General features: G+C 44.7%; 1 protein-coding gene and 1 long non-coding RNA gene across 4 annotated transcripts in view, besides 3 other annotated features; one reads left to right on the top strand and one right to left on the bottom strand.

Annotated features, from left to right (window-relative positions):
* The window catches only part of LOC107984671 (uncharacterized), a 74,578-nt gene that overhangs the window by 28,790 nt on the left and 23,389 nt on the right, over positions 1 to 22,399 (top strand). Inside the window, exons 2-4 of one of the 3 annotated variants that reach the window (XR_001750623.2) lie at positions 8,897 to 8,970; positions 15,016 to 15,102; positions 19,129 to 19,207. This is a non-coding gene — a long non-coding RNA (uncharacterized LOC107984671). Of the gene's footprint in view, positions 1 to 8,896; positions 8,971 to 15,015; positions 15,633 to 19,128; positions 19,208 to 22,399 lie in introns of those variants that run through there. The other 2 variants (XR_001750622.2, XR_001750624.2) reach the window with 2 other exon arrangements.
* EDDM3B (epididymal protein 3B) lies at positions 792 to 3,336 on the bottom strand. Its single transcript, NM_022360.5, has 2 exons — positions 3,234 to 3,336; positions 792 to 1,607 (listed from the first exon to the last, which is right to left on the bottom strand). Exon 2 carries the CDS (start codon positions 1,587 to 1,589, stop codon positions 1,146 to 1,148), a length of 444 nt encoding a protein of 147 aa, NP_071755.1. The 5' UTR covers positions 1,590 to 1,607; positions 3,234 to 3,336; the 3' UTR covers positions 792 to 1,145.
* Positions 3,349 to 3,628: an enhancer, noted in NCBI's record as "active region_8094". NCBI's record gives its function as "activates an Ori minimal core promoter by ATAC-STARR-seq in GM12878 lymphoblastoid cells {active_cell/tissue: GM12878}" and the evidence as "EXISTENCE:reporter gene assay evidence [ECO:0000049][PMID:35858748]".
* Positions 19,258 to 20,457: an enhancer, noted in NCBI's record as "MED14-independent group 3 enhancer chr14:21219442-21220641 (GRCh37/hg19 assembly coordinates)". NCBI's record gives its function as "activates an origin of replication core promoter dependent on BRD2, BRD4, P300/CBP and CDK7 cofactors, and independent of MED14, by STARR-seq in HCT116 cells {active_cell/tissue: HCT116}" and the evidence as "EXISTENCE:reporter gene assay evidence [ECO:0000049][PMID:35650434]".
* Positions 19,646 to 20,146: an enhancer, noted in NCBI's record as "H3K27ac hESC enhancer chr14:21219753-21220253 (GRCh37/hg19 assembly coordinates)". NCBI's record gives its function as "activates a minimal SCP1, AML or CMV promoter by ChIP-STARR-seq in naive and primed H9 embryonic stem cells {active_cell/tissue: H9 hESC(naive and primed)}" and the evidence as "EXISTENCE:reporter gene assay evidence [ECO:0000049][PMID:30033119]".

Here is a 22,399-nt window from a genome sequence, read left to right as displayed (position 1 = left end):
CTCTAAATTATTTTTAACCTTAAAGAAATGTGATTTGGGGGCCTGAGTCACATGCCAGGCCACTGTAACCAAGGCAGCTGTAACCGTGGTTTCTATGTTTATAGATTAAACCTTCTTTCTTACCTGCATTGTTCGGTGAAATGTTGTAAATTACTGAAGGGTACAGGGGAAGACTCCTTCCCTCTCCACTGTTGATCTTCATGATAGAGTAACTTCCCTCTCCTCTTAGAAAGACTTCATCGCTATCACATTAAGATGGAATGTTAAATACACTCTTTTAAATTGGAAAGGAAATGAAAAACTATAAAGAAAAGAAAAGAAGACTTGGGGGACAAACTGTAACTAATTAATTTGTTGTAACTCTTAAACCAGCTGTTATAGAAATTGTTGTAATCCTGTTAAATTCTTTTGTCTTTTTCCTACATAAGCAAGAACTTAATTTTCAGCTTTGGAACACTGACTCCATTTCTGTGGAGTCTGTGTGTTACCGAATGGCCACTCCTAGCCTTTTGCTTGAATCAACTCTTTAAAACTGGATTCTGACACTTTTGATTATTTCAAATTGATGCTGCAATCAATGCCTACATCACAACTTGTCTTGAACTAAGCACACAATCATTCATACCCTCATCATATACACAAACATATTACATACATTAGATATGCACCCATAAAATACACCTTCAATCCCTTGCACAGCATCAATCACATGCATAGTCTAGATCACACACACCCATATCAATCACACTATACTCACTCTGTGCACATAACATATATGAATGTCACACACATTGCAGTCATATAATTTATTTAGGGAAGGGAAGATTGTTCAGCTTGGGTATGTATCAAGAGAGTCAATATCAGGAAAGTCTTGGGTTAATCAAGAACAGATGCCATATGAGCTGAATGTCGACAAAAGTATAAGAGTAAATTAGGTAAATGAAGACAAAAGTGTATTCCAGGCAGAGAAACAACACAGGCAAAGTTATGGTATCAAGAAATTATGCTATTCATAACTCTAAGTATTTGGAAAACATTGACAAATAAATGCAAGAGGGGAGTGGTAGGACTATTGATGGAGGCAGGGGCTGCTACTTAGAAAGCACTGAATACTCTACCAATACCTGAGGATGTGCATAGACTTTCTAGTTGCCGATAGGTTCTACCATCTTTAGGTCTTCTATGCTATCAACATACCCGTCCATGCTACAATGGAATTCAATGTAGTTGAAGCTCCTGCTCTCTGTGTAGCTATTTTTGGAATTCTCCTGGTGACACTTGAGTACTTTGAGAGGATTCTGGACCCATACATATGCATTTCGGAAGCGATCCATCCAGTTGTCACTAGTGCATATATGCTCGATTTTGTACCATGAGATATAGATAAACATGTGAGAGCTCTTGTCTTTCAGAGCTTCATTTTCTCTCATGAGGACATCACATTTGTACTCTCTGAATTCTCGACTTGGACTTAAGTAGTGCTGTTTCATGAATTCTCTCCAAGAAACTTCTTTGCTCTGTACAAGCAGTGTGCATAGGATGCAAAGTAGGGCCAAGAGTGTGCCCCAGATCTTTAGAGACGATGCCATCTCAGTCACCGGGGCCGCCTGCGTGTCCACAGAGAAGAGAAAGAAAAGCATTATCCAGACAATGCCCAGAGAGCTGAACTCCACCTTAAAATTCCTTCCCCACCAGGCAGGCACTTGGGTGCAATTTTACTATTTGGTTCCCCGATGAGAAGATGCTAATTCTCATTAGAGAATAGAGTTTCTAAGAACTAAAAACACGCTTCAGCCTGTGTAAGCGAAACACATAATTAGAAAAAATAGATGAAGTTCATTTTGAGAATTCCAACCATCTCCTCTCATCCCTCTCTTACACCCAACCTGAGGAGCCAATCACCCTCCAGCTGGCTCCTTTTTACCAGACCAACTCTCAGGAGATCATGTGTCCAAAAGAGAATGATATTTTAAGGTTTATGTCCTTGAAGTGGAAAGGGTTGTCAGATTTTAGGGAAATGTAGAAAATGAGTAACTACTTGGGAAGTGGTTCCTAGGTAGGAAGGCTTCGATTCGCTAAAATGACAGCCTAGCCTGCAATTACTTCTTGCCTGCTTCTCCAATTACTTAATGATGCTTCTCCAATCTTGACTTCCTTATAACACTTTCTCCAAAGCCTGAGTGGAACGTATGTTCATTACTAACTACCCATATTCCTTCTCAGGGGTCATTCCCCTAATTATCACTATTACAAATGATCTTGGTTTGTCAGAGCTGCTCCTTGAAAATGTCATCATAAAATAACTCCAGTTTTGAGGTTTTTATTTGTTTATTTATTTTTGAGACAGAGTCTCACTGTGTCACCCAGGCTGGAGTGCAGTGGCACAGTCTTGGCTCACTGCAACCTTCACCTCCAGGGTTCAATAGATTCTCTGTCTCAGCCTCCCACGTAGCTGAGATTATAGGTGCCTGCCACCACACACAGCTAATTTTTGTATTTTTTTTAGTAGAGACAATGTTTCGCCATGTTGGCCAGGCTAGTATCAAAATCCTGGCCTCAAGTAATCTACCCACCTCGGTTTCCCAAAGTGCTGGGATTCTCAGGCATGAGCCACTACACCCAACCAGAATTCCAGATTTGAAATATTCCTGTAATCAATCAAGCACCAAGACTAAAAGAGCCCCCACAGTGGCTTCTGTGGTGATAGCATGGAGTGTGGGGATCTTTTTGAAAGAGTCTACCGTTTAAACTAGTGCTCTGTCCTCATTTACCATGAGAAGTGTTCCCGCCCTTACTGAATCTCTAACCTGATTCACAACTCTGAGCATTGGTGTCCTCAGATGGACTTAATAATAGCTCCCTACAGACCTGCAAGTGTCTAATGAGACGCATGTATTTGAGAGCACTTCTAATGATGTCAAATGTCCACATCAGACACAGAACAAAGGGTCGGTACTTCCTATCTGTGGAACCCTGTCCTGATGATAAAGACCTACAGAGGATAGAAGAGCAGGATGTAAGCGGTTTTAATGCATTGTGTTTGAGAAGACTGGGGGTGAAGGAAGGGAGGGGCAGGGAAAGCCTGTATCAGTGGGACTGAGGCTGACCAGAATTCACACCTTTGTTTTCCATGATTTGGATCCTTCTCCATTGTTTGCTATCTAAAAGTTCAATCAGCCTCCTTTCAGTGCTCCTGGCTGTCCCCCAAACATCCTCAGCAGAGCCCTTCTTACCCTACTCAGACTCCAAGTTCAGGTCACTGGTTGTAGTTGGGATCAGTGTGTGGATCTGAAGAGCAGAGTCTGAGTCCTCCTTTCCTCAGGGCCCTGGAAATCTGCAGCAGTGGAGAAAGGAATAGCAGGGGGAGCTGCAAGGCTCCAGCTGATTGGTAGTGGAGGTGGTGATGGGGAATAGCCTTATTATGTGAACTTGTTCCTGTATCTTCTCATCTGGAACACTTGAGTTTATTCAGACAGTGGCCTCAAGCAAAGGCTACAAACATCAAAGGCTGACTCCAGGGCACAGAAGAAGTGCAAGACCCTAGAGTGAGGTGACCCCAGAAAGGGGTTATCTGGTGCTATCAGTAGACAACGAGAGACCTGGCTTCTGCACTCAATTTCTGACAAAGTTCTGGGAAGTCCCTGGAGGGTTATGCTATGTTACACAGAAACTTCTCTGAAGAAAGCCACTTATAACATTGTGAACTGTGGGACTTTCGTTGAGAGGTGAAAGAGTATCTAGTGAAACTGGTGGCCAGATAGTTATGATTAGGTAGCCAGTATCTGAAGTTTTACTAGGCAGTTTGTTATTGTCGATGAAACGAGTCAGCTGGGTGTGGTGGCTCACGCCTGTAATCCCAGCACTTTGGGAGGCCAAGGCGGGAGGATCACCTGAGGTCAGGAGTTCAAGACCTACCTGGCCGAGGTGGTGAAACCCCATCTCTACTAAAAATACAAAAATTAGCTGGGCGTGGTGGTGGGCACCTGTAATCCCAGCTACTTGGGAGGCCGAGGCAGGTGAATCGCTTGAACCTGGGAGGCAGAGGTTGCAGTGAGCCGAGATCACGCCATTGCACTCCAGCCTGGGCAACAGGAGCAAAACACCATTTCAAAACAAAAGAAAAGAAAAAAAAAAGAGTCAAACTCTGTAAAATATTTGAAGAGATTTATTCTGAGCCAAATATGAGTGACCATGGCCTATGACACAGCTCTCAGGAGGTCCTGAGGACATGTGCCCAAGGTGGTTGGAGCACAGCTGGTTTTATACATTTTAGAGAGGCATGAAACATCAATCAAATACATTTAAGAAATACATTGGTTTGGTCCAGCAAGGCGGGACAACTCAAAGCTGATGGGGAGTGGAGGGCCTCCAGGCCATAGGTGTATTTAAACATTTTCTGGTTGACAACTAGTTTTGTCTAAAGACCTGAGATTGATAGAAAGGGAATATTCAGGTTAAAATAAAGATGGTAGAGACCAATTCTTTCGAAGTCTTATAGTGGCTGCCCTTAGAGACAATAGATGACAAATGTTTCCCTTTCAGATCTTAATTAATATCTTTAGGATTGGAAGGTCTGGAAGAAAAATATTTAGCTATGTTAATAGAGATTCTTTACAGATGCAAATTTTCCCCCACAAAGAACAGCTTTGCAGGGCAATTTCAAAATGTGGCAAAGAAACATGTTTTGGGGCAAAATACTTTTTCTTGTTTGTCTGGTAATGTTATGCCAGAGTCAGGTTGGAAAGTAAAACATGATATACAGGGTTAAATAAAACTCATCTGATGAGAATTGATGATTTGTAGGGCATGACTCCCCAGACCCCTTAGATAGGAATTTGGGCAAGATAAAAAAAATCAGAGTTTAGTCCTCATTAACAATAACCTTTGCTGACGCTGTAGTCCTTACTGCCTTAGTAAAATGTCAGGTAGCCTAGCCATAGTTTCCACAATGTTCCTATATATCACATCTGACTCTGAAGTATGCATCACAAGGTGTTGACCTAATTGTTTTTCAGGAACTCAAGACTCAGCCCTAAACTCAGCTCACTCTGGTCAAGACCACCAGCCCTTAAACTGAGTTTGTGTGAGCATCCCATGGGTGACCTTTCCATATCACATCTGGAATTTCCAGCACGTTTCATACCAACTCCCCCTAAATTGGTATATGCAACGAATATTGTTTCAGTAACAGTAACCAAAGGTTTCACTTATGGATAATGTAAGATACTTGAATGTATTTTCTTTTTCTATTTATTTATTTACTTTGGAGACAGAATCTCCCTCTGTCACCCAGGCTGGAGTGCAGTGGAGCAATCTTGGCTCACTGCAACCTCCATTTCCCAGGCTCAAGTGAATCTCCTGCCTCAGCCTCCCAAGCAGCTGGGACTACAGGTGGGCACCCCCACACCCTGGTAGTTTTTTGTATTTTTGGTGGAGGCGAGGTTTCATCATGTTGGCCAGGCTGGTCTCGAACTCCTGACCTTAAGTGATCCGCCCGTTTCGGCCTCACAAAGTGCTGAGATTACAGACGTGAGCCATTGTACCTGGTCTTGAATGTATTTTCTATCAACATCCGCAAGGCCACTCCTACCTGAGCCACCTTGGTTGAGTTTGTCACTGGACCACCTAGCTATTAGAATGTCAGAATATTCCGTTTATATCCAGAACTTTTCTTCATACTTCAGCTCCTGTCAAGCAATCATTGAATAATAGGGAATCATGTGCTGATAGACTCTGTGGGGCACGGGAGAGATATTGTTCCTATGGAACTGAACTGGGGTCTGATCGTCCAGCACAGTAAGATCAAATATCCACACCAAGGTCTGCGGCAGGAGAAAGGAGGGAGTTTATTTGCAAAGCAGCAAGCAAGGAGAACCTTGTGGCTCACACTGAAGACCTGACCTCTCTGATGACTTCAGGTAAGGGTTTTTAAAGGCGGGAAAAGGCCGGGTTCGGTGGCTGACGCCTGTAATCCCAGCACTTTGGGAGGCCGAGGCAGGCGGATCACGAGGTCAGGAGATCGAGACCATCCCGGCTAATACAGTGAAACCCCGTCTCTACTAAAAATACAAAAAAATTAGCCAGGCGTGGTGGCGGGCGCCTGCAGTCCCAGCTACTGGGGAGGCTGAGGCAGGAGAATGGCGTGAACCTGGGGGGTGGAGCTTCCAGTGAGCCGAGATTGCGCCACTGCACTCCAGCCTGGGCGACAAAGCGAAACTCCGTCTCAAAAAAATAAATAAATAATTAAATAAAGGCGGGAATAAATTTCAGGAAAGCAAAAGTTACAGGCAAAATAGTAAATTAAAATGTGGAGATTACACATTAGTTTGGCTGAATAAGGCAAGGTATTGAAGCAGGGGCTCACAGGTCATAGGTAGAGTCAAAGATCATCTGATTTGCAATTGGTTAAGGAGATGAAAGTTTGTTTAAGAATGGGGGTCAGCAGAACAGAATGTTAGCTTTGGATCATGGGTGTGACTTTCTCCAGGCCACTCGAAATAATTTAGATGAACGGTGGTGAGAGTTTAGTCCTCAGTTTCCCCCTTATCTGAGGTCTATGTGCCAGCAGATCTGTTTGTTGGGGGTCTGAGTTTCTGAAGAACTCAGGGATGTATGTTAAGATGCTATTTTTAGTTTCTATAGGGAACCAAACATCCCCTGATTCTAACTTCCCTGGTTATTGTTTTAAGCTAGCATTACCTTCTTGCTTATCTAGTTCCTCTTTTTTCTTTTCAAGGCTAGCTAAGAAATTGAAGATTTTCCTTTATTTCCATGCTGGGTTGGGGAGGGTGCCCTGCTCACCTCTAAGATAGATCCCTGCTCTGTCTTATTGCCTCAGAGCAGGTTCTATGCATCCTCCTACTCTCTAGGTCTTTTGATGATAGAGAAGAGATAAAGGAAACAATTCTGGGCATCTGGATTTGGATGACTTGAGAGGCGATTCTGAGGGAAAATCAGTCGTTTGTCATGTGCCCACACATCCAGAGCTCTTTCCAACAAGTGTGCATTATCTATTGAAGACTTAAATTCAAGTAGTGACTCAAGGAATGTAGAGAGAGGTGGGAGAGAGAAGCTACCTGAGCCAATGTTCGAAGAAGCAAGCTAAGAAAGAGCTCTAGAGCTTTTCAAGGCATCATATCTGATGATATATTCTAGTACATCAGTGAGTAATTTTGAGAATTTTTAGAAGTAATGCATTTGAAAGTAGTTTTAAAACAATAAAATGTAACCAAATGCAGGCTTGGCTGCTTGCAAAACCAATAACAAGGACAAGATGCAGTGAAAAGAAAGAAGCTTTATTCCAGAGCTAGCACTGGAGAAGTGGCCATGGCTTGTGCCTTAAAGGAACCATTTCAAACTTTAGCCTGGGGAGAGGGGCTTACAAAGGGAACTTGCAGTGGGTGGCATGCAAGGAGTGGTGCTGGGTACAGGTCCGTGCGTCTCGTTCTGGTGGCTATCTTGAGTCATGGTCCACCTGGAGCATGGGCTGGCATCATCCCCACAATGGCCGGGTTGTTGACTAACTGCTTTGAGGTAATCTCTGGAATTTTGCAGCTGGGTTTCCATGCCTGTAATCTGTCTCAAAATTAGTCCCTAGAACTTCTAAGTAAGCACATATTTAGATACAAGCCTACAGTCAGATAAATGTATGTGACGTAAGGGAGTGTACGGTGGGAAATGGCGGGGGAACAAAGACTCTTGGTATGTTTCAAAGCTATATATTAAGACTGAGGAGGGGAAAAAATTTCTGCAGTTTGCTTCAAGGTTATATCTTGAGACTAAAAAAAAGAGAGAAAAAAAGAAAAAAGTTTTAAAATGCATTTTCTTTCTTTCTTTTTTTTCTTTTTCTTTTTTTTTTTTTTGAGGCGAGTTTTTGCTCTGTTGCCCAGGTTAGAGTGCAGTGGCACGATCTTGGCTCACTACAACCTCCACCTCCTGGATTCAAGTGATTCTCCTGCCTCAGCCTCCCAAGTAGCTGGGATTACAGGTGCCCTGCCACCACGCCCGGCTAATTTTTGTATTTTTAGTAGAGATGAGGTTTCACATGTTGGTCAAGCGGGCCTTGAACTCTTGACCTCAGGTGATCCACCTGCGTAGGCCTCCCAGAGTGCAAGGATTACAGGCCTGAGCACCGTGCCTGGCCTGAAATGCATTTTTGAAGTTCAGTTACTTGGTTACAGCTCCCTACTGTCAAATCCCATCCATTTCTATGGGAAGTGGTCAATGCAGGCGATCTGGCTACTTCCTGCTGAAAAGAGGCATAATTAGGAGGTAATGGGATGGAATCTGCTTACCTGGAGTTGGAAATATTCTTGAATTCCCAGATTGACAGTGGGAACTTGCTGGAGCATTTTGGTGTGGGGAACTAAGAGCTGCTGAGAAGTCTGTCTTGCATCCCCATACAGACAGCACAATAGCAATAAAATCCATAGCAGCTGAAGAAGACACTGAGTAGAATGCCAATTAAGCGATGTATAAGTCTTCCATGCACTAGGGAGTTGACTAAAGCGTGCCATCACAAGGCCTTAGGATGAGGCATCTATGGTGGAAATATTTAAGGCCTTCATAGCTAGGGTTACACTGTGGGAATAATCTGATACACACACACACACACACACATACACGCAAGACTCAGTCTTAGTTAATGCACATGTGCCACCTTGGGCTGCAGGCAGGATATCTAAGGCCATACAGTTCTTTAAGGCTGTCTAATCTGTGAGGTTTCTTCAGGGAGAAAGGTGATGGCAGAGTGAGTGTTATTAAAGGCAGCAGCCATATGCTTAGCTACGGCCTCTACTTGTAATTTTACATCTATGGCCGCCTCCTGGGGGGTAAAACCACAAGGGTGTCCATTTCTGATGACAATATCTGGCTTTTATGCTTTCCCAATTGGCAGGGAGAGGATCCAGATGGGACAGGATATGTCCCGGTAAGGGTGCCCCCAGTTGCATCTCCTGGTTCCATTATAAGGTAAGTAATGCAACCATGAGTGCCGCAGGCCCATAGCCAACCCCACGTGGAGGGATGGGCCCCAGTATGAAGATGGGCATTATTCTGCTATCCTAGCCACATACCATCAGTTAGCTGGAGAGATTGGCTACATTGTTGAGGATGTAACCATCCCATATGGTGGGCTATGGTGTGCTTGACCCATTACTTGTATTTGTACTGCGGTCAGACATCCCATGCCATCACATACAGCATATCCCAAGGTGGGGGTACTGTTAATCTATTAATAGAATAGGCAAATAAGGTGTCTCTGAGTTTCCTGGTAGGAGGGGAACCCACTGTGGGAGGTGCTATGATCATAGAAGGGGAATGGGTATGAACTCCTATACCAGGTATATAAATGACTCCAATTGCTCAGGTTGGCGGCTTGTAAGCACCATGGCAAGCATGCAGTGCAGGAAAGGAGTAGTTCCCACAGACCCAGCAGTCTGTTTTATTTTGAAGAGAAGCCACCGTTTGTAATGCGCTAGGTCAGCGAGAGCCTCTCTCCCATAGCGTGTCCCTTCGTGCAGATGCTTAAAATTGGGTAAACTAAGGCCTCAGGGAGTAAGATCATCCTGTAACCATTCGTTTCCCAGAGAGAATTAGAATCTGTTTTATCAAACTCCAGGCCCTGGTGCATTTTTTATGTTGTTCAGTGTAATGAGGTTTGAAGTCTGATAAGTTCAAATGGGATATTAAGGCCTCCAGTGTTTTTGCTTCCCAAGCAGCCTGTTTTGCAGTCTTATTGGCTGCCTGATGGCCTTTGGTTGTTTGCAAATTTTTTTTTTAGACAGAGTTTTGCTCTTGTCGCCCAGGCTGGAGTTCAATGGTTCGATCTTGGCTCACTGCAACCTCTGCCTCCCAGGTTCAAGTGATTCTCCTGCCTCAGCCTCCTGAGTAGTTGGGATTACAGGCACCCGCCACCATGCCTGGATAATTTTTTTGGTATTTTTTAGTAGAGATGGGGTTTCACCATGTTAGCCAGGCTCATCTCGAATTCCTGACCTCAGGTGATCCACCCACCTCAGTCTTCCAAAATACTGGGATTACAGGCATGAGCCACCTGCGCCTGACCTGTTGTTTGCAAATTATCTTTCTTGTGTCCGGGGCAGTGCATAACGGAGGTGTGGGCAGGCAAGGCAACTGCTTCTAATAAGGCCAGAATTTCCACTGGGTGCTTAATGTCCTTGTCTCCTGATGTCAAGAGGCCTCTTTCTTCCCAGATGGCTCCATGAGCATGTCCTTTCATGAAAGCGTAGCTGGAATCAGTGTAAATGTTTTCTTGCTTCCCCTGGGACAGTTTAAAGCTCTGGTAAGAGCAATTAACTCAGCCCTTTGTGTGGAGATAAGGGCATGGGCTTGTATTACCCTGTTGGTGGTCACCATGACATACCCAGCTCTGTGTTGTCTATCTTCCATGAAACTGCTCCCCTAGGTTACAGTTCTCAATCTGGGGCATCCAATGGCTGGTCTGACAGGTCCTGCCTGCTGGAATAGACTGCATGAACAATTTCTAAAATGTAATACTCTAACCTGGAATCAGATTCAGTAGCTGGGAGCAGTGAGGAAGAGTTTAGAGCCTGGAGGTTTGCAAGGTGATATCTGAGTCATCCAAGAGGATGGCTTGGTATTTCCCCATTCACCCCACAGTGAGCCAGTAAACTCCCTTTTGTTCTAGCAAAGTCAACACCTGATGGGGCACAAAGAGAGTGACCTGCTGTCCCAGGGTAAACTTTTCTGCTTTCTGTAGGACTTCACAAGTGACTGCCAATGCTTGAAGGCAAGGGTCCACCCTTAGTCATTTGATTCAATTGTTTAGAAAAATAGTGTATTGGCTGTGGGGTGTCTTCAGCTTCTGGATTAGCACACCTAGACTGACCTATGCCTTGTTTCTTATAAATGTAGAGTTTGAATGGCCTTTGGGATTCTGGCAATCCCAACACTGGGGCTGATACTAGCTTTTCCTTGATGATATTAAATCTGTGTTGGCACTTGGCCGTCCAAGGCAGGGGCTCAGAGTCTAATCCCTTTAGGGTTTCATGAAGGGGCTTAGTCATCAGTCCAAAACTAGAACTCCAAATCCAACAGAAGCCAGCCATGCCTAAGAATACTTGAAGTTGTCTCCTATTTTCAGGAGCTTTGATGGCTCCTCTTGCCTTTCTTTAACCTGAATCTGAGATAAGTTTACTTTTTGTTTACAGATTTGTAAACAGACACTTTGTATCCACCCTGGGCCAGGTGGTTTAGAACTAGGATGGTGTTAGACAAACATTTTTCCTGCTTGAGGCTATCTATAAGTAAGTCATCTACATAGTATAGCAGGACTCCATCAAGTTTTGTTTTGAGATGGAGTCTCGCTCTTTCACCCATGCTGGAGTGCAGTGGCGCAATCTCAGCTCACTGCAACCTCCGCCTCCTGGGTTCAAGCGATTCTCCTGTCTCAGCCTCCCGAGTAGCTGGGATTACAGGCACACGTCACCACTCCCAGCTAATTTTTTGTATTTTTAGTAGAGACAGGTTTCACCATGTTGGCCAGGCTGGTCTTGAACTCCTGACCTTCAGTGATCTACCTGTCTTGGCCTCCCAAAGTGCTGGGATTACAGGTGTGAGGCACCGTGCCTGGTTGTTCTTGCTTTTTGAGACAAGGTGTTGCTCTGTCACCCAGGCTGGAGTACAGTGGTGTGATCATGGCTCACTGCAGCTTCAAACTCCTGGGCTCACATGACCCTCCCATCTCAACCTCCCAAGTAGTTGGGACTACAGGCATGTTCCACCATGCCAGGCAAATTTTTTGTTGTTGTTTTGAGAGAGTTTCACTCTTGTTGCCCAGGCTGGAGTGCAATGGCATGATCTCAGCTCACTGCAACCTCCGCCTCCCAGGTTCAAGTGATTCTCTTGCCTCAGCCTCCCGAGTAGCTGGGATTACAGGCACGCACCACCACACCCAGCTAATTTTGTATTTTTAGTAGAGATGGGGTTTCTCCATGTTGGTCAGGCTGGTCTCGAACTCCCAGCCTCAGGTGATCTTCCTGCCTTGGCCTCCCAAAGTGCTGGGATTATAGGCATGAGCCACTGCTCCTGGCCCAAGGCCAATTTTTAAATTATTTGTAGAGACAGGGCCTCACTATGTTGCCCAGACAGGTCTTGAACTCCTGGGCTCAAGCAATCCTAGTGCTTCAGCCTCCTGAAGTGCTGGGATTACAGGCATAAACCGCTATGGCCAGCAAGGAAGGTCACTTCGGTCTTTAGGTCATGCCATTCAAAAGTAAACAATTGTTGGGATGCAGAAAAATGCATCCTTTAGATCCAACACTGAAAACCATCTGTAGTTTCCAGGTATAGCAGTAAAATATATGGGTTAGGTACCATTGGATGAATATCCTGGACTATTTCATTAATAGCGCTCAGGTCTTAAATCGATATTCATTGGAATGTGGCTTTCTTACAGGCAGGATGGGAGTGTTATATAGGAACTTATAACGACAGGTCAGTCCATTTTCCAGAAATTTTTGTAGGATAGATTTTATCTCTTCTGAGGCTTCCTTTTTTAATGGGTGATTTTTTTTTCCAGGGCACTCCAGCCCCCTCTTTTATCTCCATGTGCACTGGCTGCATGTTTCTTGCTTTTCCTGAGACCCCCGTCTGCCCAAATGCAATATTCACTCTTTAGCAGACTTCTGGGGAAAAAGCTTTTTCCTTTTTCATCTCAGGGTGAGTGAGTAGCATCTATAGTCTCAGTGTCTGTTCTGGTGGGACCTGCAGGTATAATTGCTGTTTTTCCGGGGGAAAAAGTTACTTGAGCACTTAATTTGCATAGTATGTCTTGTTCTAGCAGGAGAATCAGCCATTCTGGCATATAGAGAAGGCTGTGCCTTAGTTCCGGGTTTTCCAGTTTGCATTCTGAAGGTTGTAAGAAAGCCTTTTGTTGCCTTCCTCCTGCAACCCCTGTCACAGGCACAGTCATTTTGGTGCTCTTTGCCTCTGGGGTGTTAGGAACTGAGTAGGTCACTCCCTTTTTGACCAATAAATCAATTAGTTTGTTCCCCATTGTCAATTGCACCCAGGGCTTCTGTGAGGAAATTCCTCATTCTCTATCAGAGCTGTAGTCCTGGTTCCACCATCTGCTGGTGGGTCCTTTCCTTCGCGCTTTCCTTTTTTTGTGGCCCTTGGCTTCCTTCATTTTGGGGCAGTTAACCTTCCATTGGCCCTCTTCCTTATGACAGGTGCATTGGTTGTGGCCCAAAGGCTTACCCTGACTTTTCTGGCATGGAGGCTTCCCTGCTTATTCCACATATACGGTGCCTGACTTGTATTTCTTTGCCATTGTACACTGTGAAAGCAATGTCAACTAGCTGAGAAGGGGTAATTCCAGTGCAGCCTCTTTTCTTTTCTAGCTTTCTCTTTATAGCAGGGGCACTCTGCTGAATGAAAGTCTTATATACCAACCTCGAATTCTCAGGGTCTTCTGGTTTCATATCAGTGTATCTGCAGAAGGCTTGGTAAATGCATTCTAAGAATTCAGAGCGGTCCTTATTTGCCTTTTGAATGACTGTCTGAACTTTATTGAAGCTCTTTTGGTTTGGCGCCCCCTCCTGATTCTGACCTGAATGCATGCTTGGTAGTGTTCCAGATGGGTCATGTCCCCATCTCAATTGGGGTCTCAATTAGGGTTTGTACCTGGAATTGCCCCTGCAGGATCGGAGATATTGTTTGTCTCATGGAGGTGATGGGCCTCTTCATTTGCCTTCTCTATTACTAGCCTTCTTTCATCTGTGGTCAGAAGCATAATAAAAAAGACCAAACATCTGCCCAGGGGGGCTGGTGGGTAGCAAAGATGGATTCAAAGAGATTAGTCATTTTCTGGGGGTCTTCTCTATAAGGTTGTTTGGAGCTTTTCCAATTTAGCAAGTTGGATGTTGAAAATAGGCTGTAAGTCCAGTAATGTCTGACAGATGGCACTTCTATGTGTGAACCACCCATAGGCATCTGCCTAAGTGGGAATTGCCCTGCTCCAGTCACAGTATTGCCCTGTCCAAACAGAGTGCCCTGTTGGGTCTTGGAGGGACAGACCATTCCAACTCCCTCATCATATTGAGATGGGGCAGTAGCCCCTTCCTCCAAATTTGGAGCATCATGTGGTGATGGTGAGGCAGCCAACTAGCTGTGGAGAAGGTGGTGAGGCAGCCAAGTAGCTGTGGAGAAGGTGGTGCAGCAGCCATGGCGGCAGGAGCTGCTGGGGCAGCTGGGTTTAAAGCATTTAAAAGAAATCTTTATCCCTTTGTTCCTGCATCTGGCTATCTGGCTTATGAAAGACCCTCTTCTCATCTCTTTGTACAGCCAGCAGAAGCCCCCTGCCCCATCCTGAATCCTGATTTTGCAATAATATGAGAACTTGGAATAAGGCATTTCTTCCCATTTCCCAGATCTCTGACAAAATAATTCTAACTGAATTAAAGTCCAGTACAGGGTACTCCTGTTCAGAGGCCAAATTCATCACCTAATCTGTAAGAAGTCTAAACAGTATTGTAGGCCTGGTGAGGTGGCTCACACCTGTAATCCCAGCACTTTGGGAGGCCAAGGTGGGCAGATCACCTGAGGTCAGGAGTTTGAGACCAGCTTGGCCAACATGGTGAAACCCCCATCTCTACTAAAAGAGATTAAAAAATTAGCCAGACATGGTGCCTCGTGCCTGTAATCCCAGCTACTCGGGAGGCTGAGGCAGGAGAATCTCTTGAACCCTGGAGACAGAGGTTGCAGTGAGCCAAGATTGTGCCACTGCACTTCAGCCTGGGCAACAGAGTGAGACTCTATCTCAAGAAACAAACAAACAAACAAAAAACAATATTGTAATAATAGATCATCTTATTCTTGGTCATGAGCTCCTAGCTATAAGCCCTCCAGTTAGCGAGAATGCGACTCAGGGGCTTCTAGAGGGCATTGAGACCTTGTTGCCCATTCTGGCTTGGTTCCTGTACCTGTACCACTTGACCCTGCTGAAACAGTGGTGACACCTTCTTTTCACAGCCTTGTTTCTTCTGCTCCTGTACTCATCATCTCCCATAACTAGACTTCTAGAAGTTGGATGGATCTTCCTGACCTCACACAACCAATGTGAGTAAAACCACTCACAGTTCCAATAGGCACAATTGTGCAATTCCTGCCACACAGCAAAAACAGTCAGAGAGATCAGAGAATGAACTTCTTGGACAGGTAGGGGGAGACTGGCAATAATATCCGCTACCACATCAACCTTGTCCCACTTTCAGCTGTTGCTGTGCTCAGTGCTCTGATAAAGGATGACTGAATGACAACAAAGGGGGATGGCAAATCAGAGACAAAAAGGGGAACAAGGGTTGGAGTTGGGATTACTTAAGGACTTACCCCAGGTGTTTTCAGCCTTGTTTTCACACAGACAGCATTGAGCACTGTAAGCAGGGTGACAGGCCCACTTAGATAACCCGCAGAAGAGTCCACACACTTCTTTTCCCCCACAAGGTCTGGCACAGCTGTAAGATATACTTTGGGGTCCTAGAAAGATGACTTAGTCAAAGTGGTAGAGATTGTCCCCCTCCAGGGCTAGGTCCCTGGATTGACCGGGGACTTATGCAGGTCACCTTGCAGAGAAAAGAAAGAAAGAGAAAGAAGGCTGGGCCTGGGGGCTCACATTTATAATCCCAGCACTTTGGGAGGCAGAGGTGGGCAGACCACCTGAGTTCAGGAGTTTGAGACCAGCCTGGCCAACATAGTGAAACCCCATCTCTACTAAAAATACAGAAATTAGCCGGATGTGGTGGCACTCACCTATAGTCCCAGCTACTTGGGAGGCTTAGGCAGAAGAATTGCTTGAACCTGGGAGGCAGATGTTGCAGTGAGCCGAGATCACACCACTGCACTCCAGCCTGAGCAGCAGAGTGAGACTCTGGGAAAAAAAAAGAGAGAGAAAGAGAGAGATAGGTATGGGCCCAATGTAGATGCTACACACTCACACAGTCACAGATTCAGACAGTGCACTCCCAGATAGATCCCAACTGAGAGGGGCTACATACAAATCCTGAAGGCTTTTCTCAACCTCAGATGGCCCCACGAAGAGCCAAGTCCAAACAGAACAGAGCTCACATGGTGCCACGGATGGTGTACACACCCAAATGGCATCACAAGCAGCTAGGTCCAAACAGAACAGATCCCAAGTAGCATCACAGAAGAGGCAGAGGGGATCCAGGTGAACTCTGGTTGACTTAGCTAGTTCTGAAGTCCATTGACTTCTTCAGATGTCACTTTCCTTGTACCAGAGAAGGATAGTAGGTAGCAGACACTGTGACAGGGAGAGAAGGGAGGTTTCTCGAGACAAAGGTATCTCAGCAGCTTCAGGGAAATTTCCTAGTGCCCCAGCGATGGAGTCAGATAGCCATGAGCAGCTGGTATTCATTAGTGTTTCTTGTCCCATCTCATAGCATGAACGGTTAAGCCCTGGCACATTTCTGCAGCCAATTGCCTCACTTGTTGGAAACCAGATCAACCGGCTCAGACCACTCAAAACACACAGTGCTTCCCGTATGGGCCACCAAATTTGTAACCAAATTCAGGCTCGGCTGCTTGCTGTTTGCAAAGCCAATAAGAAGGATGAGATGCAGTGAAAATGACCTTATTCCATAGCTGGCAGTTGGGGAATGGCCAAAGCTCATGCCTTAAAGGAACCATTTCAAACTTTAGACTGGAGAGAGGGACCCTAAAAGGAACTTGTAATGGGTGGCATGCAGGGAGTGGTGCTGGGTACAAGGTCTATGTGTCTTGTTCTGGTGGCTATATTGAGTCGTGGTCCACCTGGAGCATGGGCTGGCATCATCTTAACAATGGCCAGGTTGTTGACTAGCTGCCTTAAAGTAGCATCTGGAATTTTGCAACTGGGTTTCCATGCCTAGTTCTGCCTGAAAATTAGCCCCTGGAACTTCTAAGTAAGCACATAATTAGATACCAGCTTACAATTAGATAAATGTGTAAGTATAAGGGAGTGTATGGTGGGAAAGGGAGGGAAACAATCTTAAAGTATGTTTCAAGGCTATATATTAAGACTAAATAGGGAAAAAATAAACTTTTTTTCTTTTTATTCCCTGAACGCTTCAAAAATATATTCCAGAAAACTTGAGGGACTTTCACTGGGCTTATGCCTTACTCCCTGAACTTTGTTAAGGCTCCTGTGCTTTGGCACTCCTTTACAGAGTCCAGCCAGAATGTGATCACAATAATGCTTGAGCTTGGGCCTATGCCCAGTGTTAACATTTTACCTGGGGCAGCTGTGGGCACTGCAACCTAAGATGACCTTACCCGGTTACTGGGGGAGTCAGCATGCAAACACTTGTCTCTGGCTTTTTTAAGACCATTTGTCACTCCTCAGAGAGTAAAAGTGTGTTTAACAAGGTTTGAACATTGGCTCAGGTAGGATTGTGGGATATAGGATACAGAAGAAAACAAATATAGAAAAGAACAAATTTTCCATTGGTTTTGGACCATCTCAACAGGTGACAATACTATTTTTCTTTTTTTTCTTTTTCTTTTTCTTTTTTTTTTTTTGTGATGGAGTCTCGCTCTGTTGCCAGGCTGGAGTGCAGTGGCACCATCTTGGCTCACTGCGACCTCTGCCTCCCGGGTTCAAGTAATTCTCCTGCCTCAGCCTCCCGAGTAGCTGGGACTACAGGCACATGCCGCCATGCCTAATTTTTTTTTTTTTTTTTTTTTTTTGGATTTTAATAGAGATGGGGTTTCACCATGTTGCCCAGGCTGGTCTCAAATTCCTGAGCTCAGGAAATTCGCCCTCCTTGGCCTCCCAAAGTGCTAGGATTAAGGCGTGAGCCACCGTGCCCAGCCGACAATACTATTTTTCAAATTTAACAGATCAGAAATAGAGAATAGAGATTGTACCCAAATGAGCCCCATGGGTTGCCCTGTGTCCTCGTCAATGCCTCCTCTAGGAAATTGTTGAAGGGAAAATTGTCCTGCTGGAGCTGAAGTGGCTCCCTGGCCAAATTGGAACCTCTGACAGGTGTGAGAAGGGGAAATCATTCCTGCATCTCATCATTCGTGGCCTCTTGGTCCCTCGTGGGGACTATGACTCTGGTGCCAGTGGCCTGGCCATAGCTCCTTCACCAGGTGAAGGAGGGAGCACCGACAGCTCATTTAACTGATCTAGCAAAGTATCATCTTCCCTTTCCTATGACTCCAACAGTACAGGCTTAGTAACAGTCTCCTGTACCATAACTTTACATTTTTCTCTATCAGCTTATATTGCCAAAGCAACGCAAAACACTGTCCATAAGGGATTTCTTTCCACTTTTCTTCCTTGTTACAAAAGAGGTCTAGATGCCAGATGACATTATAACTAAGGAACCCATTTTTGGCCACTTTTCCCCCACATTCTGATGGGTGAAGGGGCCAGGTTGTATTACAAAAGTAAATGTTTTTTTCTTTTAATGGGTTCTTAGGCAATGGATGCCCAATTTTGTGAAATGCAGCCTAACAGGCTGCCTGGGAGAACAAAATTAGCATTTTTCATATTAACCAAGGTAAAATTACAATTAACATACAAAAAAGACACAAACACCAGTTGCTCCTCTCAATATCTGAGTGCCTTTGATCCACTCCATGTGGGGAGGGATGACCTCTAGCCAGCAATGCAGTGAATGGTCACTCGTGATGAAGAGGGAGCAGAAGGCCACCCTGAACTAGGCCACCAAGCTGCTGCTGGTTGGTCCGTCAGCACTCACCAAAAGCAACTGCGAGGCAGAGAGGATGGGTTCCCTGAGTCAGGCCTACTGAGCTTCAGCTAGTGATTCCTTTAGAATGCCCCCTGACACACAGGTAAATGGGACAAACAAGAACAATAATGAGACCTCACAAGTCAGAAATCAGATTTCAGAACTGAGACCAAGAGGCCCAGGAGTAGTTCCCCTGGACAGTGCCCTGTGGGCTCCTTCCAAGTGGGAAAGATGCCCTTGAGCAGGGAGGGCCCTTTGTATATGTGGAGGAGGGTCAATGGGACCTCCAAAGAGGTGACAAAACCTCTAAGAAGTCCAGCAGATCAGAAGGAAATGGGGATGTTGCTTGTGCTTGGGAACACACAGCAAAGATGTCTTCCATTTCCAGAAACCATTCCTCCCCTGCAAGCAAGCCTGAGCTGAAGGTTGGCAGTGCCATGCTGGCAAGAAAGATTCCAGAGACTTCGGTGGGTCTCCAGGTTCACCACAGTGGCAAGAAGGCATTAAACCAGAGACAAATGCCCATGAGGAGCCTCCAGGCTAGCTCTTGTTAGAAATTAGAAACAAGATTTGGCGCTGCAAAAGGAATACCACTCAAATGGAAATTTTCTCAGCAAGGCAAATTTACTTCTACAGAAGGATGCAGCTTGTGCCAGTTATGATTGCAAGAGCACACTGAGCGGGGTAGGGCAGGGGTTTTTATTCCTAATGCAATTGGTTCTTACTGCTGTGTCCTTTCTCCATTGGCTGGGGTTGGAACGCACAGTCTAAACTGACCCCACTGGCTAATGTTTGAAATTGACCACAGCTATCTAGGCAGGAAGGGGAAGGCTATCCCTTATGGCACAAGGCATGTCTAGGCTTGTCAGGGCATGTCAGTGTGCGGAAAGGGTTGTTTACAGCATGGGTAACTGTAGAAACTAGAGAAACAAAGAACCAGAAGAACAGAGAATTAAAACCTTTTGAAGAGGAATTTATCATCTCTGACACTCTCCACTAAATTGTAACCACAATAGATTCATTGCCTGGTGCCCAGCAAGTCAACGTACCAAATAATGGCGATAGAGGCAGAGAAATAGTGTAATATTCCTAGGGCAGTCAAACAAGGGGATGGGAAGAAAACTCAAATTTGCCTCCCTCAGAGGTTTAGGGGTTGGGTTTATAAGGGGTTTGGACCCGGCTGAAGTGTGGGGATTTTTGATTCATCAAGAAGTGAGGGGTGCAGTCATGGGGACAGGGGGATGAAGAAACTGTAATCTTTTGCTGAGCCAGTTCCTTGGTGGGGGTCTTTAGACTGGTTGGCATCAGCTGCAACACTGAAATTCAAGATCTGAAACACCTTACAAAATTCTTGGCTGGACATGGTGGCTCTCACCTGTAATCCCAGCACATTGGGAAGCTGAGGCGGGTGGATCACTTGAGATCAGGAGTTCGAGACCAGCTTGACCAATATGGTGAAACTCCATCTCTACTAAAAATACAAAAATTAGCCAGGCATAGTGGCAGACACCTGTAATTCCAGCTACTCGGGAGGCTGAGGCAGGAGAATCCCTCGAATCTGGGAGGCGGAGGTTGCAGTGAGCCGAGATCACACTACTGCACACCAGCCTAAGCAACAGAGGGAGACTCCATCTCTAAATAAATAAATAAATAAATAAAATACTGGGAAAGGCAGAGAAACAACACAAAGCCAATATGCGAATTGCCTTTAAATGTATATCACTTTGTGTAACACATTCAGCTGATATACAAAGCTAATATATTAATTGCCCTTAAATGCACTTTCCTCTTGTACTGTTTTGAACCACTATCTGCTAACCTTTTAGTAAAAGCAACTTTTAAAGAGTTACTTACATGAGGTACTTGTGAGAACCTATTTTAGGAGAATAGAATATGCCACCACAAAGTATGCTCTGTAGCGCAAAGATTATTTTGAACTGCTTATTTTGAGAAACAGGATACACAGGAAAGCTCTGAAAATAGAGTACACGTTACCCTTCTGCAAGGAAAATGTGCATTCATAGGGAAACATCCATTCTTACAGATGTCTCCTTCTCTGTGCCAGAAGGAGAAAGGTGACCCTAAATCACAAGAGACCCTTCTCAGTGGAGAAGGTACTCGACTCAAATCTACATGACAAACCTTTCCCTCATTTACTATACTTTTCCTGGTCATCTCCCCGTGACTTGCTCCCCACGGGCATTTTCCTTAGCTTTAGCTGAAGATGTCATTTAAGCCCAAGTTCTAGCCACTGCTTTGAGTTACTCTCTTTCTCTCATGTATACATGAGATACACATGTTACCACATTTCTGTTTGTTTTTCTCTTCTTAATCTGGCTTTTCTTATGGGGCCCCAGCTAAGATCCTAAAAGGGTAGAAGAAAAAATTTTTTTTCCTCTCCTACACTATATTTTGAAGAGCATTTATCAAATGAGAAAAACAGTATTTTTTCCCCATATGTAAATTGATCATTGATGAAGAGCTACTGGTTTAATACTAGTCTCTTCTGAGTTTGGTTGGTGGAGATTGTCATCCCCAGGTGTCTGCTCCTCCCCAGGTGCACTCAAAAATTGCAAAGTTGAGGAACTGCCTTTGGTATATGATGACCAATCTAGATACACTGACTACTCATTGAGGCCAGAGTTCTAGGAAAGTGTGCAGTCACCTCATGAATAATGTTGATACTTTGGTCTTTTCCCTGATTGTTTCAAGGCCAGAGCCCTATGTTTCTGTGAAGCAAACATGTTTATTATCAGATAAAATCATTTGTGCTAATGTCTTCTACTTGACGTGTCATCCTTAGGAAATGTAATGCCTTGGCCTGTTTAACGTGCATTGACCTTCTTAGAAACATTCTTAAGGAATTAAGTCTAATAGAGACATCTGTAAGTGTGTGGTTGATGGAGGAGGTGTTCTTTTTCATCCTGGATGTGTATAGCTTTTATACAGATGACAGCCTACTCTATTTTTGTATGAGAAATTCCCATCCCTAGAGTCAGGGACAGCAGATAATTGATGGGTTCTTATAATGATTGTTTATCATAATCAAAATTAAAGTACAAAACTGGTGGGTGAATGGGAAAGGAAACAATTTTCGCTGAGTACCTATTATAAGCCAGAAACCATGCCACGTGTTTTATACCCAGTCAGCTCTGCCTATACCCAGAAATCTGAGTGGAACTAAGCGTGTCAGACTGTTAAAATCTACAATTTCAAATCTAAGTTGTTGGAACTCTAAATTATTTGGAACCTTAAAGGAAAGTGATTACGGTGCTTGAGTCATGTACCAGGCAGCTGTAACTAAGGCAAGTGTATCTTGCCTTCTCTGATTAGAGATTAAGCCTGTTTCTTACCTGCATTTGTGAAGGGGTCCAGGGAAGACTCATCCCCTCTCAACTGCTGATGTTCATTATGGATTAACTCCCCTCTTCCCTTTCTCATGCAAAGACTTCATCGCTTTCACATTGTCTTTTTGTTTTGTTGTTGTTGTTTTGTTTTTGTTTGTTTGTTTTCACGACAGGGTCTGGCTTTGTCACCCAGGCTGGAGTGCAGTGGCACAATCTCGGCTCACTGCAACCTCTGCCTTCTGGGCTCAAGCCATCCTCCCACCTCAGCCTCCTCAGTAGCTGGGACTATAGGCACATGCCACCATGCCTGGC

Source organism: Homo sapiens, chromosome 14 (genome assembly GCF_000001405.40).
Source record: "Homo sapiens chromosome 14, GRCh38.p14 Primary Assembly".
In the NCBI taxonomy this organism is placed as follows: Eukaryota; Metazoa; Chordata; class Mammalia; order Primates; family Hominidae; genus Homo; species Homo sapiens.
Note: the sequence above shows the minus strand (reverse complement) of the source record. Positions and strands in the feature narration are given on the sequence as shown.